Source organism: Homo sapiens, chromosome 3 (assembly GCF_000001405.40).
Source record: "Homo sapiens chromosome 3, GRCh38.p14 Primary Assembly".
NCBI classification, from domain to species: Eukaryota; Metazoa; Chordata; class Mammalia; order Primates; family Hominidae; genus Homo; species Homo sapiens.
The window spans coordinates 8,939,192-8,956,584 of NC_000003.12; the positions used below are offsets into that span (position 1 = coordinate 8,939,192).

At 37.8% G+C, this 17,393-nt stretch overlaps 1 protein-coding gene across 2 annotated transcripts in view, besides 1 other annotated feature; it reads right to left on the reverse strand.

Annotated features, from left to right (window-relative positions):
- Positions 1 to 17,393, reverse strand: part of RAD18 (RAD18 E3 ubiquitin protein ligase) — an 86,398-nt gene that overhangs the window by 62,117 nt on the left and 6,888 nt on the right. Inside the window, exons 3-6 of one of the 2 annotated variants that reach the window (NM_020165.4) lie at positions 9,318 to 9,379; positions 8,029 to 8,099; positions 2,276 to 2,613; positions 363 to 462 (exon numbers count right to left, since the gene is read on the reverse strand). In NM_020165.4, coding sequence (NP_064550.3) covers positions 363 to 462; positions 2,276 to 2,613; positions 8,029 to 8,099; positions 9,318 to 9,379 — 571 coding nt within the window. Of the gene's footprint in view, positions 1 to 362; positions 463 to 2,275; positions 2,614 to 8,028; positions 8,100 to 9,317; positions 9,380 to 17,393 lie in introns of those variants that run through there. The other variant, XM_017006873.2, reaches the window with a different exon arrangement.
- Positions 16,154 to 16,448: a silencer, noted in NCBI's record as "tiled region #4351; HepG2 Repressive non-DNase unmatched - State 15:Elon". NCBI's record gives its function as "represses a minimal TATA promoter and a strong SV40 promoter by Sharpr-MPRA in HepG2 cells {active_cell/tissue: HepG2}" and the evidence as "EXISTENCE:reporter gene assay evidence [ECO:0000049][PMID:27701403]".

A 17,393-nucleotide genomic window follows, 5' to 3' on the forward strand; every position in this document is an offset into this window, starting at 1 on the left:
ATATCTTATATTCAGAGTCTAACCTTGCTTTCTTTGGCCAAGAGGCTTTTTGGTAGTTTTTAAAATCTAAGAGAAAAAAACAAGTTTAAAAAGAATTGAATTTGAAGTCACTAATTTCTTATTAAGTCAAAATTTAGTAGCAGTTCAAATATTCAATATAGCTAATCATATTTGGCAAAGTGGGAGTTGAAGAAAGAACAGAGGAGAGGGATTGGAAGAAGTGGCCAACAGGAGTAAAGAAGAAAGCAAGTAAGAGCAGGAAATACGGTCACCAGGATAAAAGGAATACTGTAATTTTCCCCCAAGTAAGCACAAGAGGCACCCAGCTAAAGTAGCTCAATGGTTCTGCTCAACTTCCTTACCTTCTGAGGCTTTCCTTCTTCTCTTCGCGTGATAAACAGCTGTCTAAATGCTTATTAATGTGACTTTCTGGAATGTTAACCCCGCAAACAGGACAATCCACTGTATTTTTTAAAAAGAAAAAGAGAGACTTTATTAATTGTAGAAGGGGCAAAAGTATGTAAACTGGCATCTTTTCAGCAAGTAAAGTAAAAAAGAATCCCAACTTAACATGCACTTAGAAAAGCAGAAAAGAAAAAGAATGGCCCATCGGGACAACAGGAGTGGGACAGACTGGTTACTGGGTAATGGCTAAATTGTGGGAAGTCACAAAATTGAAGTCCTGGTCCCAGAGAAAGAGACTGCAAATAAGCTTGAAAGTTCATTTATTAAAAATGTTTCGGTTACATCTTTTCTACCAAGGTATGACCAAACTATAGAACTCATCTTAAATTTTCCCAACCCTTAGGAGCTATCCATGTTTAGCCCAGAAGCAATAGTAACGACTTAAGTAAGACACACCTGGCCCAAGGGCCGAGTGAAGGAAAGGTAGTTTAATAATTTATTGAGTTCAATTTTGTCAATGGTTACAAATTTGTTAATTTAGCTCTCACTGATGATTCCATATATAATGTTAAAATTAAGGAACACAGTCATTCTCAAACTATTTCATAAAGTTGCAGGGATCTGTGGGGGTATCTCGGGGCCTACAGACCACCATGGATAATAGGCAGAAGGAGGTCAGGTGGAACAGAACAATCTGTTTTATCTATTTTATACGTTATGGTTTATCGTAAAATTTCATTTGGGAAAAAAGGTTCCGCTAGGGGAAAAACAGTTAACCATCAAGCTAAAAAATACTACAATAAGAACTGTCAATTGGTAAAAAGACTAAGGATAGACATAGTAGAAAATATAAGTGAAATTTATATATCTTTAAAAGATGTAAACACGTTAAGTACTAATAAACTAATTTCAATCTAAGTTTAATACACACTCACATCTCTGCACTACGTGTGGTATGGGTATACCAAAGATGTCTAAGAGTTTCTGCCTAAAAGGTGCTCTAAACTTCACTGGAAAGAAGATACAGAAACAAAAAGTTAAACAAGCTGACATATTCATCAAACAGTTAAGCAAATGGGATACAAAACAGTCCAGAAAACAAGTGCTATAGCACTTTTGTGATGTGAGACAGTGTTTTCTAACATAACAAATGAATAGTGAGGATCTGGATAGAGTCTGGAAAGGTATAGAACAGGGGCCGGCAAACATTCTTAGTGAAGGGCCAGGTAGAATTTAGACTTTACGGATCCTATGGCCTCTGTCACAACCATGCAACTCTGCCACTGTAGAATGAAAGCAGTCACAGAGAATAGGGTGGGTATGTGAACTTTTATTTACAAAAACAGGTGGCAAGCCAGATTAGATCTGCCAGTTGTAGTTTGCCAATTCCTCAGTGTACTGGAGGAACAGTGGGGAGGCTAGAGCAGGACTTCTGAGACAGAGAGGTGAGCAATAAGGCGGGATGACTAGGTTAGGCCTCAAATTGTCACAGGCTTTATATGGCAGGCAGAACAGTGAGGAGGCATTCAAGTGGTGGTAAAATAAGATAAAAAGAGCTTTTCAAGATTAAATGGGAACTGATATGTTGAATGAGGGGAAGAAAGATTAAAAGCTGAAAACAGAAAGCTACTGCCATACTTGAAGGCTGAACTAATTAAAATTGTTTCCTTTTTGTAGCAGTCAGCCTGAATTCCTGTTTCTGAGAGAGAAAGAGAACAAACATATCTACAACAATGTCTGAGGTTTGTGATATGGTAAAATCTGGTTTGTCCTTTACCATTCCTTCCCCCTCAAAGATGCTGCCTATTTATTCTTATGTCATGTGGATGAAAAGATGTCCATATTTCCACATATGAAAATAACTTCCTACCTTTAGTAACTTGTTTCAAAGTGGATGTCGAGGGTGGCTCAGGACGCTTAGCCTCTGAGGGATCTGGAGCGATCTCTTCTACAGAACGTGTCTCTTTGGTCTTTGCAGCAGGGCTCGCCTCTTTTTGAGGGCTGAATTTGCTTTTATTTTCTTTTATCAACAACTCTGATGTAGAACCACTCATTTCTCTGATCAAGAAATTATCCATTAACCTGCTCCCCTGCTTTAAAGACTGTCTGGAGGCTACAGGAGTATATACTTTGACAGCAAGATTCTTTGAAGAGGAAGAAGCAGGAGATTTGGCTGGTGACTCTAAAGCAAACTGCAGCAGATGATTCCTTGAAGCACAAAGAACACAACAGACAATTAAGAGATCCAATTTTACATCATAAATTAACTGACATAAGCTGTTTTCCCAATTAACCTTGTTTTCTGAAATACAGGACCTATACTATAATGACAACCAAACCAAAGTTTCTTCTAGTATAACTCAAAGCAATAAATCTAACGTAAAAGGCAGTTAATGTGTCAATAAAACAAAATGAAAGGAAATCAGCTTTAGGCCACAGAGAACAGCTTATATGAGACCTAATCTCCAACCATAAGTAACTTTAAAATCCGAACAAAATATACTGATATAGTCTGGATGTCGTCTCCACCAAATCTCACACTGAAATGTGATTCCCAGTGTTGGAGGTGGGACCTGGTGGAAGGTGACTGGATCATGAGGGCGAATTTCTCATGAATGGTTTAGCACCATTCCCTTAGTGCTGTCCTTGTAACAGTGAGTGAGTTCTCATGAGATCTGTTTTAAAAGGGTGTGGCACCTCCCACTCTGTCTCTCTTGCTCCCACTCTCACCACATGACATGCTGCCCGTCTTTTGTTTTCCACTGTGACTGTAAGCAGCCCAAGACCTCACTAGAAGCCGAGCAGATGGCTTGTACAGCTGCAGAACCATGAGCCAATTAAACCTCTTTTCTTTGTAAATTACCCAGCCTCAAGTTTACTTTATAGCAATGTAAGAATGGCCTAACTTGCATAAAAAACAACTCTTTGTAGGCACTGGACTGAAATCAACACAAGGCTGCAATCCCTGAAAAAGAAGAAAACATGAAGTAGTCCAACATTTCCCCCAAGACTTACTTTACCCTGGGAGCATTTTCTAGGAATGGGTACTAAAGTGAAGTCTAAACAGGAAACATTGATCTTACTTGTTAGAGAAAATAAGAGATCAGAGTTCTGAACAAAACTGGCCAGGATTGAGGGGTCAGAGTGCTTTGACACGTGGTAGCTACTGAAAGGGAACCCCACCAGTCTGCTTAGAAATTCACATCCATTCCTGCTCATTTCCAGGGCTGCACATGATTAGACAAAAACACAGGAGACCCACTAGGAAGCTGATACTGGTAAATTAAAATCCCAAACGTCAGTGCTGGAAAGTTAGTTGTTCGCATTGGAGCCCAGCCAAAGCTGAGAAATCTTGGTAAGATCATGGACATTCAAGTGACACCCCACAAAGACCACACCTTAGAAAAATGGACCACACTGAAGAAATATAAACAAAGCTCAAACAGACCTAACCTAAGAAAACATTATACCAGGCCTTGACAGAACAAAGATGAAGAGCTGATAATTTAACTGCCTCTTAGAACAAAATGTGACATCTTTCAAAAGAAGACAATTCACAGCTTCTACAACGTTTCAACCACAATGTTCAGCACATATTTTAAAATTATTGAACATGCAAAGAAGCAAGAAAAAGTAGCCACTAATCAAGAGATAAAATATTCAATAGAAGCAGACCCAGAGGTAATCCAAAGAATAGCATCTCTAGGTAAGGACTTCAAACTATGATAAACATGTTAAAGAAAAAAAAAGAAAAGGGATAAAAAGATAGTGTATTATGAGAAATAAAATCCATAAAAAAGAATAAAATGAACATTCTACAACTGCAAAATACCATATCTAAATTGGATGAGTATAACAACACACAATACAAACTTGAAGGCAGGTCAATAGAAAATATCCAAACCAAGCACAGAGAGAAAAATGAATGAAAAAGACAAACACAAAAAAGTATGAGATATTGGGCATAATTAAAAGCCCAGAAGGAACAGAAAGAAAGAATGGGAAATCAGCAATACTAGAAAAACCAATGGCTGAGAATTTTCAAATCTGATAGAAAAAAAAAATCAACCCATAGATTCCACCACTACCGAATTTACATGAAACGCAACAACAGAAAAATAACTAGAAAATCTCCAAATGTTAAGAAATAAAGCACCACACTTCTAAATAACCCCGCATGTCAAATCACAATGAAAACTAGAAAAATATTCTAAACTGAACGATAGCATGAAGGGTTGCCAAAACTGTCCCTGGAGGGAAAATTATTGAAAATAGAAAAAGTAAAAACCACCACTCTAAGCTTCCAACTTAAAAGGTTAGGAAATGAACAGCAAACTAAACCCAAAGAAGAGAGAAACTAATAACAGATACTAGTGAAATAGAAGAGATAACAAGAGAAAACAAGCAAAGCCAAACATTGGTTCTTTGAAAAAATTAACAAAACTGTTAATCCCTACTAAGACTGAACAAGAAATAAATGAGAGAAAATACAAATTACCAAAACAAAGAATTAAAAGAAGACCTCGTTACAAATCCTATAAAGAAGATAATTAGAGGATATTATGAACACTTTAAAACAACAAATTTTAAATTTTAGATAAAATGGACAAATTCTTTGAAAAGCACTATTCATCAAAACTGACAAAGAAACAGAAAACCTGAAGAGCCCTTATTATCTGTTAAAGAAACAGAAGCTATAATTTAAAACTTTTCCACAAAGAAAACTCCAAGCCCAGATGGCTTCACTGGTAAATTCTACCACATATTTAAGGAAGCTTTGTTTATTTCTTCAGTGTGGACATGGTGGCACATACCCATAGTCCTAGCTAATTGGGAGGCAGAGGCAGGAGGATCCCTTGAGCCCAAGAGTTCGAGGTTACAGTGAACCATGATCATGCCACTGCACTGCAGTCTGGGCAACAGAGCAAGAAGAAGAGAGGAAAGGGAGGAAGGGAAGGAAAGGGAGGGAGGAATAGACGGGGGAGGGAGGAATAGAGAGGGGAAGGAGAAAGGAGGAGGGAGGGAGAAAGGAAAGGAGGGAGGAAGAAAGGAAAGCAGAGAGGGAGGGAGGGAGGGAGGAAGGAAGGAAGGAAGGAAAAGTCTTGTCCATCTGTTAACTATACAATAACCTTACCTCTTCAGAATGGGGCTAAGAATCAAGAGTCAAAATAGGCCTTTGGGTAGACATGGGCAGCCATTAAATCTATGCAATCAATTCCATGGACTTCTGTAACTAAAGTCCTGCAATGCTTGTTCTGATCAGAAACATGTAAACAGCAGTCTAGAACCATTTGGCTAAACAATAAACTGTAGTCGGCCCTTCCCATCCACCAGCTCTGCATCTGTGGATTCAACTAATCACAGAGCAAAAATGTTCAAAAAATAATAAAAGTAACAATACAACAATGAAAAATAATATAAATTTTAAAAACACAGTATGACAACGATTTATATAGCATTGTATTAGGACTATAAGTAACCTAGAGGTGATTTAAAGTATAAGGGAGGATGTGCATATGCAAATACTATGCCATTTTATGTCAGGGACTTCAGCATCCACAGATTTTGGTATTCTCAGGGGTCCTGGGACCAATCCCCTTTACTGAGAGACAACTGTACTAAATTTGATCGTTTTTAGAATGCAAACCAATAAAGAAATGTGTAATTCTATTGAAAGAAATCTGTTTATATTTTTAAAAGCAACATAAGGTACCTCATAGAATGTTCCAACATGCTTTGTTCAACAAGAGACCAAATACACAGTGGTGGTTTCATTAGACGATAATGGAGCTGAAAAATTCCCATTGCTAAGTGACATCTTGATAATCCTAACCCTGTGTGGGCCTAGGCTAATGTGTGTGTTTCCATCTTCTTTTTTTTTTTTTTTTTTTTTTGAGACGGAGTCTTACTCTGTCGCCAGGCTGGAGTGCAGTGGCGTGATCTCGGCTCACTGCAACCTCCAACTCCCTGGTTCAAGCGATTCTCCTGCCTCAGCCTCCCAAGTAGCTGGGATTACAGGTGTGTGCCACCATGCCCAGCTAATTTTTGTATTTTTAGTAGAGACAGGGTTTCACCATGTTGGCCAGGATGGTCTCGATCTCCTGACCTCGTGATCCACCCACCTCGGCCTCCGAAAGTGCTGGGATTACAGGCGTCAGCCACCAAGCCCGGCCTCCATCTTCATTTTTAAGAAAAAGTTTAAAAAGGAAAAAATAATAACAATTTTTAAAAACAGAAAAAACCTCACAGAATAAGGATATAAAGAAAGATGCTTATACAGCTATACGATGTGTTTGTGTTTTAAGCTAAGTGTTATTACAAAAGAGTCAAAAAGTTAAAAAAATATAAAAGTTTACAAAGTGTAAAAGTTACAGTAAGGTTAATTATTGAAGAAACTTTTTTATAAATTTAGTGTGTAGTCTAAGTGTACAGTGTTTATAAAGTCTACAGTAGTGTATGGTAAGGGCCTTAGGCCTTCACATTCACTTATCACTCACTCATTGACTCATCAAGAGTAACTTTCAGTCCTGAAAGCTCCATTCATAGTAAATGCCCTATAAAGATGTACCATTTTTTATCTTTTATACCATATTTTCCCTGTACTTTTTCTATGTTTAGATACACTAATAGGTACCATTGTGTTGCAACTGCCTACCGTATTAGCTATAGTAACATGCTGTACAGGTTTTGTTACCAAGGAGCAATAGGCCCTGCCATATAGAATAGGAGTGTAGTAGGCTATACCATGTTGGTTTGTGTAAGTACACCGTATGATGTTCACACAGCAACCAAATTGCCTAATGACACATTTCTCAGAACACATCCCTGTTAAGCAACACATGATTACACTTAACTACAGGGGCACCTGACCACTATCTAAACCAGTACGTCCTTCATAAAAATTCTTGTTTGACTTGCATGATTAAAACTAAAAGTAATCCAAGATATTGAAACATGCCTTTTCATATCCCTTTGGGTGACCAAACTCACTTTCACACATTCATGCATTTGACAGGAAGTAAAGTTGCATATCTGAGCTTTATAAAGTACAAGCAATTACATATTTCAAATGCCATACCATTTAATACATGCTGAATAAATCCGATTAAGAATTAACAGATTAATATATAGCAGACAGAATCAATTATAGATATGTGTATATACATGAGTTAGTACATACATATATATAACATACATATATTACTTAGCTCTGTCCATTGAGAGGGCCTAGAAGCAATGACACCCCAGTAGCAACAAGCATACCCAGCACCAGATCCTGGTCTCTAAATACTATTCTCCAAGAAGAGGAGCTCCTTGGAGAAATGGCTGATTCTAGGGCTTGGGCAGGAAAAGGAGTATCTTCAGAGCACCCAAAAGTAAGGAAGTCCTCAAATCTGCGTTTTAACTCTTAATTATTCTATACTACAGGAGAATTTCTGTTAAGTAAAGGAAGAAAATCTTACTCTAGTAAATTTTCCATGTGTGAATAATGACTGTTACTTCCCTTCTTTGACTATAAAATATGCAACCCTGCATTCCCTAATCCAAAGGTGCACAAAGTAAAGAGAGAACACATATAAAAGGCAAAAGTAGTTAGAGGTTAGTCACAAAATTAAATCATACCGTGCAAAATTCAAGCTTTTTACCAGTTCATCTAATATGCGGTTATTTTTCAGATCCGGCTCTGTGACAGTCTAGAAAAAACAAACAACAGATGGAAAAAGGTCAAAAACAATAATCAACTTGTCATAATCTTGTTTTTGAAAATGTCTGACCCATCCTCCTGAGGTTCTCCATCCCACTAAGTCTTCTAAGGCAGCCTCAAAATAAAGTTCATTTATCTCATGCTAATATGAAATTTTAAAACAGTGAATCAGTATCTGCTGACTGGAAGTCTGATAAAAGCTCTCCAGAGCTTCTCTTATAATCATATATACTCTGTACTGACTACAATCAAACCTAATATAAGCAAGAATCTTTCTTCAAAATGCCAGCACTCAGCTTTCTCAGAAATTTCTCCGGAAAAACAGAAGAGAAATGTTCTTTTAAGTTCTAACACTGGGAGAGGCACTAAGTGTTCAAGGAGAATTTTAAAGTAAGATTGGTTTTCAGGAATGCAAGAGAAAAGTGACAAACCCAGTACTTATTTGGCATGAATGGTACACAGTTTATCTCAGCGATGAGACCATCTTGTCAAAAGCAGTGTAACATATCGTAAAGATCTTAGACTTAAGAGCCAAATCACAAAATTTCTTACATAGAGAAATAGTTCGAAATGTTCAGTGACACCCTGACACCACATACCTACCAGAGAGGCAAAACTAACCAAACTCCTTACCTAGTCCTAGTGTCGGCTCTGTCAGACCTCACTTGTCTCTTCTTTCTTTATTCCCACTTATGTTTAATTACCCTTTTAGTCTACTTTTCCACCTGTTCCCACTACTTGAAAAGTTTCAGAAACAATAACAACAAACTTTCTAGGGTTTTCCCTGAAGCTCTGGTAGGGGAAAGATGTAAGGGAACAGATAGGCCGGATTAAGCCCAACAGCCATGCATATTTACCTTCTGCACAAATACTTAGACAGTTCTTTGCAAATGAATAATCATACCACCAGAGTTTCTACCAAAGTGAGAAATTATTAAAAATGAGAAGCCATAAAAACATGGGTCATAAGAATTAAAGAGTGCTACTTCCTAAAATACATTTAGGTTTTCAGAAATCTTAACAAAAAAACTGAACAAAGCCCAGCTCTTCTTACATGTACTTTAGAGGTCCTTTCTGAAAATGTCTTTCATATAGCTTAATTCAGTAACTACACATCACCCTATATATACACAGGCTTTTACGTATACACAAAGCAGAAATATTTGCAGCAGTCAGTAAGTTTTAAAAAAAGGAAACAAAAACTCACCACACAGCAAGTTGGACACTGAGTTTTATAGGACAGAAATTTTCTTATACAGAGAGAGCAGTCTGCAAAACACAAAGTGCAACATAATGTTAATTAAGCTATATTAATAATACAGGAATATGACTTCTAACAAAATCTTAAGCCCTAGACTATTTCCGTCATCTAAGGTATATCATCATAAGCTTAAATTTCTAGTACCTCTACTCTATGCACACTTACACATGTGATTAAACAGCATTTTAAGGAAAGGAAAACATAAATATTGTAAGTCTTTAGGATACCACAACTACACAAGCAACATACATCACTCTGTGTCCTCCATCTGCAAAACACAGGAAACATACACTTGGGCTGGGTACTGTATAAACCTGCCAGATATCTCTACTGCTTATCATTTGAAAATATAAATTTTGAAATAATATATATACACATATTAAGAAAAAATATATATCCAGGTTATCACATTAGGGACTTCTATATCTTAATTCTGTAAATAATGTCCTCTGTCCCACATTTAACAAGCACTTTTGTGGCAGGCACTAAGAACAATATATATAAAGGAAGGTTCTTGACCTCAAGGAGCTAATAAAATAGTGAAGCAATTACAGCATAATTCCGCATAATATATCCTAACAATTTAAGCAGGAAATGGGCACAAACTAAATTCACCACACTCAAGGCAGTGTAAATGTTCTCCCAGTCAAAGACAAAGCAGATGTGACTAACAGAATGGTACCTTACTAATTACCTAAGCTAATTTACTAGTAGCCCAAATTCAGCTGGATTCTGTTTAGTTGAGGAGGAGACAGTACAATTTCAGTACACTGTATAAATTCAGGATTCGTTTAGTTGAGGAGGAGACAGCATAATTTCAATGGTATGGATATCCAGGAAATAAGCAAGTCTTGCCAGCCTAAGTAAGAGCACCCCAGGAGGAAAAACAAAGAAACATATTATGAAAAGGATAAAACAGACAACAGGTTGAGTTCTTTTAGGAAGCAAAGATGAATACAGGGGACCGATTCAGCATGTAAGGGGCTTGGAAGTCACCACTCTGTCCTAACAAGTAAAAAGCTGAACAAACTGAAAAACCAACAACTTTTCGTAGATCCAGCAGAAAAGCAGGGTCACAGGGCAAACTGCTCTCCCCGAACTGGAGAGAGAGAGGGGGGTAATACAGACAATCACAACTTACTGGAACAGAAACCCACAAACAGAAACCTCCATGGGAACCAGAGGAGAAACCTGTGCTGGAACCAGTGCTGGGGTGGGAGAACCTGAGCTGTAATTGACGAATTGCTGGCGGCTCAGTGTGGGCAAGTCTGAGAGTCAAAAACTCCAGGGAACCCTGTCATTGCAGGCATGGAGAGGATGTCCTCACACTTCTGTGAGTTTTAGTTCCAGGAGTTCTTCAAAGTTCTCACAGTGAATATTGGAGAAAAACCCCCCAGTCCTTCCAGGAGTAGGAGGGTAAAAGTAACCATTTCTAAATAAGCCAGAGTAGTCTGTTTTTTTTGTTTTGTTTTGTTTTTTCCCCTTCAAGATGGAGTCTAATTCTGTCACCCAGGCTGGAGTACAGTGGCGCAATCTCGGCTCAATGCAACCTCCGCCTCCTGGGTTCAAGTGATTCTCCCGCCTCAGCCTCCCGAGTAGCTGGGATTACAGGTGTGCGCCACCACACCACACCCAGCTAATTTTTGTATTTTTAGTAGAGATGGGGTTTCGCCATATTGGCCAGGCTGGTCTCAAACTCCTGACCATAGGTGACCGCCCACCTCGGCCTCCCAGAGGGCTGGGATTACAGGTCTGAGCCACTGCACTGGCCCAGAGTAGTCTGTTCTCAACAAAGCCCTCCCTCAGAAGAAACTATTTTACAGAGCCTAATCTACTGGAGTTTTATCAGAGCCCAGCTGACTCTGGAAAAAGGAAATACACAACTCTAGCCCTCTAGCCATCCTGTCCCATCTAAGGAGGGGAAAACTGAGGAGCGTTAGTAACATTCACAGTCCAGGGGCAAAGTTCGCTAAAAGACCTAATCATAGGACTATAGAATGTGTCCCCTCTGCCCATACCTAAAGGCCTATTTACTGCAGTTCCTTTTACCCAGGACATCATTTCCAGTTATTAACAAAAAAACCACAAGGAAAAACACACAGTTTGAAGAAACTGAGCAAGCATCAGAACCAAAGTCAGATATACCAGAAATGTTGAAATTATCGGACCAGCAATTTTTAAAAATTATATGCTAAGGGCTCTAATGGAAAAAGTAGACAACATGCAAGAACAGATGGGAACATAAGCAGAGAGGTGGAAATTCTAAGGAAGAATCAAAAAGGAATGCTAGCGATAAAAAGAACCGCTATAACAGAATGCCTTTGATAGGTTCATTAATAGATTGAACACGGCTGAGGAATCTCTGAGCTTTAGGACATGTCAATGGAAACCTCCAAAACTGAAAAGCAAAGAGAAAAAAAGACAGGAAAAATGGAATAGAATAACCAAGAACTGCAGGATGACTACAAAAGATGTAACATACACATAATGGGAATACCAGAAAGGGAAGAATGAAAGGAGCAGAAGAAATAATAATGGCTAAGAATTTCTCCAAATTAATGTTAAACACTAAACTACTTATCCTGGAAGATCGGAGAACACTAACCAGGATAAATGCAAAAACAAAACAAATAGACACCTCAGCCAATCATATTGAAACTACATAAAATCAAAGATAACGAAAAAATATTGAAAGAAGCTGTAGTGGGGGCCTTACCTACAGAGAAGCAAAGAATGACACCTGACTTCTCACAAACCACAGAGAGTGCACCGAAATATTTAGTGTTGAGAGAAAATCATCACCAACCTAAAACTATATCCTGAGAAATTATCCCTCAAAAGTGAAAGAGAAATAAGGACTTTCTCAGACAAACACAAATTGAAGGAATCTGTTTTCAGTAGACTTCCCTTGCAAGAAATGCTAAAAGAAATTCTTCAGAGAGGAGGAAAATAATTTAGGTCAGAAACTCCAATCTACGTAAAGAAAGGAAGAGTACTGGAGAAGGAATATGTGAAACTGTAATAAAAACTTTTTCTTGTTAATTTAACAGATAACACTTTGTACAAAAATAATAACGAAGTATTCAATTATAGATGCTTATTATGTATATGCGTATAAAAATGCACGCTTATGAATGCTTATGCATAAGTGAAATGAATGACAGCAATGGTACAAAAGACTACAGGAAAGCATTTCTTAGCTTGAGCTGCCATAACAAAATACCACAGACTGGGCAGGTTAAACAACAGAAATTGTTTTCTCATGGTTCTGGAGGCTAAAAGTCCAAGATCAAGGTGCCAATATGGTAAGTTTATGCTGAAAGCTCTCTTTCTGGCCTATAGACAACCACCTGCTCACTGCGTCCTCCCATGAGGGGGTGAGGAGTGACCATAAGCTCCGGTATCTCTTCTCATACGGACACTAATCCCATCACTAGGGCTCCACTGTCAGGACCTAATTTAAACCTAATTATCTCCCAAAGGCCTCATCTTCAAACACCAACACATTGGGGTTGGGGCTTCGACATAGGACTTTAGGGGGGATAAAATTCACTCCAGGCATTCCACCTTTAACCTCCCAAATTCATGTTCTTCTCAAATGCAAAATACATCCATCCCATCTCAACAGCCCCAAAAGTCTTAACTTATTCCAGTACCAACTCTAAAGTCTAAAATCTAAAGTCTCATCTAAATATCACCTAAATCAGATATGGATGAGACTCAAGGTATGAATCATCCTGAGGCAAAAATTCCTGTCCAGACTCATTCTCTTAATTATCAATGCTGTTCTCTTTATACTATAAGAAGTCTCCTGAGCAATACTGTAAGTCAAGAAATCCTAAAACCTAGCTGCTCAGCTCAGTCACCTAGGGAGATTTATGCTGGTTTTAACTTAGTTTCCCAGGCTGTATCCCCAGTCATAGTGATTCAATGGATTTTGGTCAGTAAATCACATTCTTAATATGTAATATTGATTCAACAATGGCAACAATTTTTAAAAAATTAATAAGTTGTCACTATTAAGTTGAATTATATGAAACTGACATTTTTGGTTAAGTCAAAAATGGACAAATATTGGCAATTTCATGTGGTTCAAATAAACACTGCACTTAGTATGTGCTCTGTTCTAAGCACTTTACATGTATTAACTCTTTCGATCCTCACAGCAACCCTGAGGTTGGTACCAATGTTAGTCACATTTGACAAGAAGAAAAATGAAGCACAGGGCTCAGCCAACTTGCCAAAGATAATGGAACTAATATGTGGCAAAGGAAAGCACCAGAGTCCAGACTCTTAATATATTAATTATTAAAAATTACAGATGCTCCTTGACTTAACATGGGATTACATCCCGATAAACCCATCATAAATTGAAAATATCATAAGCCAAAATGTATTTAATATACCTATCTCTAGCCTGGGAAAAGATCAAAATTCAAAATTCAAAGTATGGTTTCTACTGAATGTGTATCGCTTTCACACCATCGTAAAGTTGAAAAATCCTAAGTCAAATCATGGTAAGTCAGGGACTGACTATATCTATAAACATTTGTTTATAATAAATATATACTGTACATTTATACTATAATGTATACTTATATAAATATGTACTATGTATAGTTATATAATGTATACTTATACAATATAGTGTATACATTATTATATATGTAATTGTACCTATATAAGTATACATTATATATATTATGTATACATCAATAAATAACATTTAATTAATAAGGTCACATGTACCTTTTAAATTAGTATTTATAATAAGGCTACTGCTTTCTCTTCTGCATAATCTTGTATATCTTTCCTCTTCTTTTCTTTTGAAATGAGGAGAACCAGATATGGAGTCCTAAGTAGATCAAGCCCTAGGCTTAATTTCACTCTACTAGACTACTACCAAATATGTACTGGTAAGCTGCAGACCAGCATAATTTATTCTCTAGTGGGCAACTATGACAACCCTTCCATTCAAAGAAGAACAGCTGAAGAGTTTTGAATTCATGTATTCCCAGAGGGCTTCATTTAAATCACCTATGAAATTTGTCTTTCCATCCAAGAGAGCCCAAAAAAGATGTGTGGGCAGAGTGGAGGAAGGTACAATAACAACAATGAATTAAAGAGTAGTTTCACAGAAATATCCAAGCCTTGGGAGAGGGGGCATCTCTAATCCCAAGCAAGATCCTAGATAAAATAATTGGCTTGTGGACACTGATAAATTACCACTATTTTAAAGCTTGGCCAGCAATCTTTTTTTTTTTTCCTTTTGTGGATTTTGACTCAAAAAAAATTAATCAAAGCTTGTGTAGAAGTAAAAAGCAATTTTATTTCATTTTTTAAAACAAACTGAAATATGAAATGTTCCCCTTACGAAACCTTTGCTAATTCAAGAGACAACATAAGATTCTATTAGGCAAATAATAAACGTGTTTATCTTCTTTTATATTCTCATGAAGTAGCACTGTGAAACAAGGCAGAGGAGAAGAGAAATAGCTACACACACAAAAGGGAGATATAATTATGCAGAGCTGCACTTCTGGAAATTCTGAAATGCTAGTCTTTAGTTGGAGGGATGTTATTCTCTTACCAACTAACTGTCCCTTAACATTAGAACTGGAGGCAGATGCCAACCTTTTCAGCTTTCTTGGACCTCCTGTTCTTTTCACACTGGTTTTTGCTTTTAACTGGACACTTTAGATGTTTCTTTCTAAAAAGTTCCTTCTTTCATAAAGTCCTTAAGATTTCACATGACAAGGATTCATTTAAGTTTTAGAAATTTCCTTTTTACTATTAAGATGCTAGACTCTTTTGATGTTTGAAAGCCAGCCAATTGCTAAATATTTTGATCATCTTCCATTATGAAGTGAGAAAAATTATAGCAAGTGCAAAGAAAATTGGCACTTGGGCATATTAGTCTATTAGCAAGACCATTTCTCACTTAATGGTGTTTTATGGGTTGGAGTAAGTCTGCTCCCTCTCGCCCCCAAAATACTCTTTAATAGCACAAATTTGGATCAATTTAATTGACCTGCATTCTGCCAAGGCACCCCACTCACACCTTTGTACCTGCAGAACTACAAATGTAGTGTTTATTACTCATATCCAAAAACCTAAACAGAACAAAACAAAATAAAGTGATTTAAAAATGATAAATCATGAAAAATCTAAGAAGCAACAATAAATACCTAGGATTCTGGATCACCAATTCTAGTCAATCCAAGATGATACCAGAACATGACAGACCTGGCTTCCACTACAGCCCTGGGGGTTTTGTGTCATTAAAACACTAAAGACCCAGAGCAAATTTTAGACATGACGGGACTTGTGACAACTGGTGTTTAGTAGAAGAGGCCTACTGAATACTGAGACTTCACAAGTGAAAAAAAAGTGCTCATAAAATAAAAAATCATCATTACTGAAACTTCCCTCCACTGACTTCCTCTTAAAGAATGGCATAAGTGACAGCTATAAGTCATGAAGAAGTGAGCAAACAACATGTATCCCTAGGGAGAGAAACAGAAGACTAGCACTTACATTGCGGGGGCTACTTGAGAAACTGGTTTCTGAGCTGCCTGAATCTATACACTGACAGAAAAGGGAACCAGGTTGAGGGCCACTGAGAACAAAAGCAAAGGTCTGGACTAGTACCACACTCACTGGCCAGTGTGCCTCCCCCAGGCTCAGCAAGGAAGAGAAACCCCCAACTTTCTGCCTGGGGAGAGAAAGAAGGGAAACACGGTCCAATGTTCTAGCTTTTCCAAGAGCTGGCCAGAGGACTGGCTTCTGTCTCACCCCACTAAGCATGAACCCTGCATGTTCTAGGTGACTGGGGACTGCTAAGAATAAAAAAAAGCTGGGTTGCTTGCTACTGATCCACAGGACCCATAGAGCAGACAGAGGCTGATATAGCTCTGCGGCTTATCTTGGGAGGGGAGGCTGGGAGAGAATAGTGGAGTGTGTGACCAACATTTGAACTTTTCAAAGGACTGCCTAAGGGAATGGTTTCTGTCTCACTCAACTTGGGGTGCTTTGGATCAGCATACTTTAGATGCTTGAGGGCAGCTGAAAACAAAAAAAGAGGCTGATGGCTTACAGCAACTCTGGAGAACCTGCAATACCATGGACAGACACATGAGAGAGAAAAACAGCAGCTAATGAAAAAACTGACCAAATCTCTCGGCTTGGAAATTTATAATCACAAGTCCAGGGAAGACACATCCACAGAAAAGGCTTACGAAGCCCCTAGAATCTGCAGTCAAGCTGACTAGTAAAGATCTTTCTCTATATGGTAGTGCCCCCTTATACACAGGCGAGACATTCCATAAAGCGCAGTGGATGCCTAAAACCACAGGTAGTACTGAATCCTATTTATACTATGTTTTTTCCTATACATACTTACCTATGATAAAGTTTAATTTATTAATAAGACACAGTAAGAGATTAGGAACAATAACAATAACATAGAATTAAAACAATATACTATAACAAAAGTTATGTAAATGTGGTCTTTCTCTCAAAATATCTTGTGCTGTACTGTAGATGGTACTGTAGATCTTAGCAACCTCAGCATACAATTTTCTTTCCTTTCCTTGTTAAGAACTTTCACCTTTTCACTTAAAGGAAGCATTTTATGGTTTCTCTTTGTCATATCCGAATTGCCAGCATCATTACTCTTGTGCTTTGGGGCTACTATTAAGTAAAATAAGCGCTACTTGACACAATTACTGTGTTCTGCAACACAGTGACAATTACTGCCATGCTGCAACAGTCAATCTGGTAACCAGGATGGTCACTAAACGATTAACGGTAGATAGCATATGTAACATCAACACACTTGACAAAGGGATGATTCCCATCCTGGGCAGGACGGCACAAGATTTCATCAGTGCTTTACTTAGAACAGAGTGCAATTTAAAACTTATGAATTATTTATTTCCAGAATTTCCCATTTAGTATTTTCAGAATGCAGTTGACCACAGGTAACTGAAATCACAGATAAGGGGGGACTACAGTACAAAG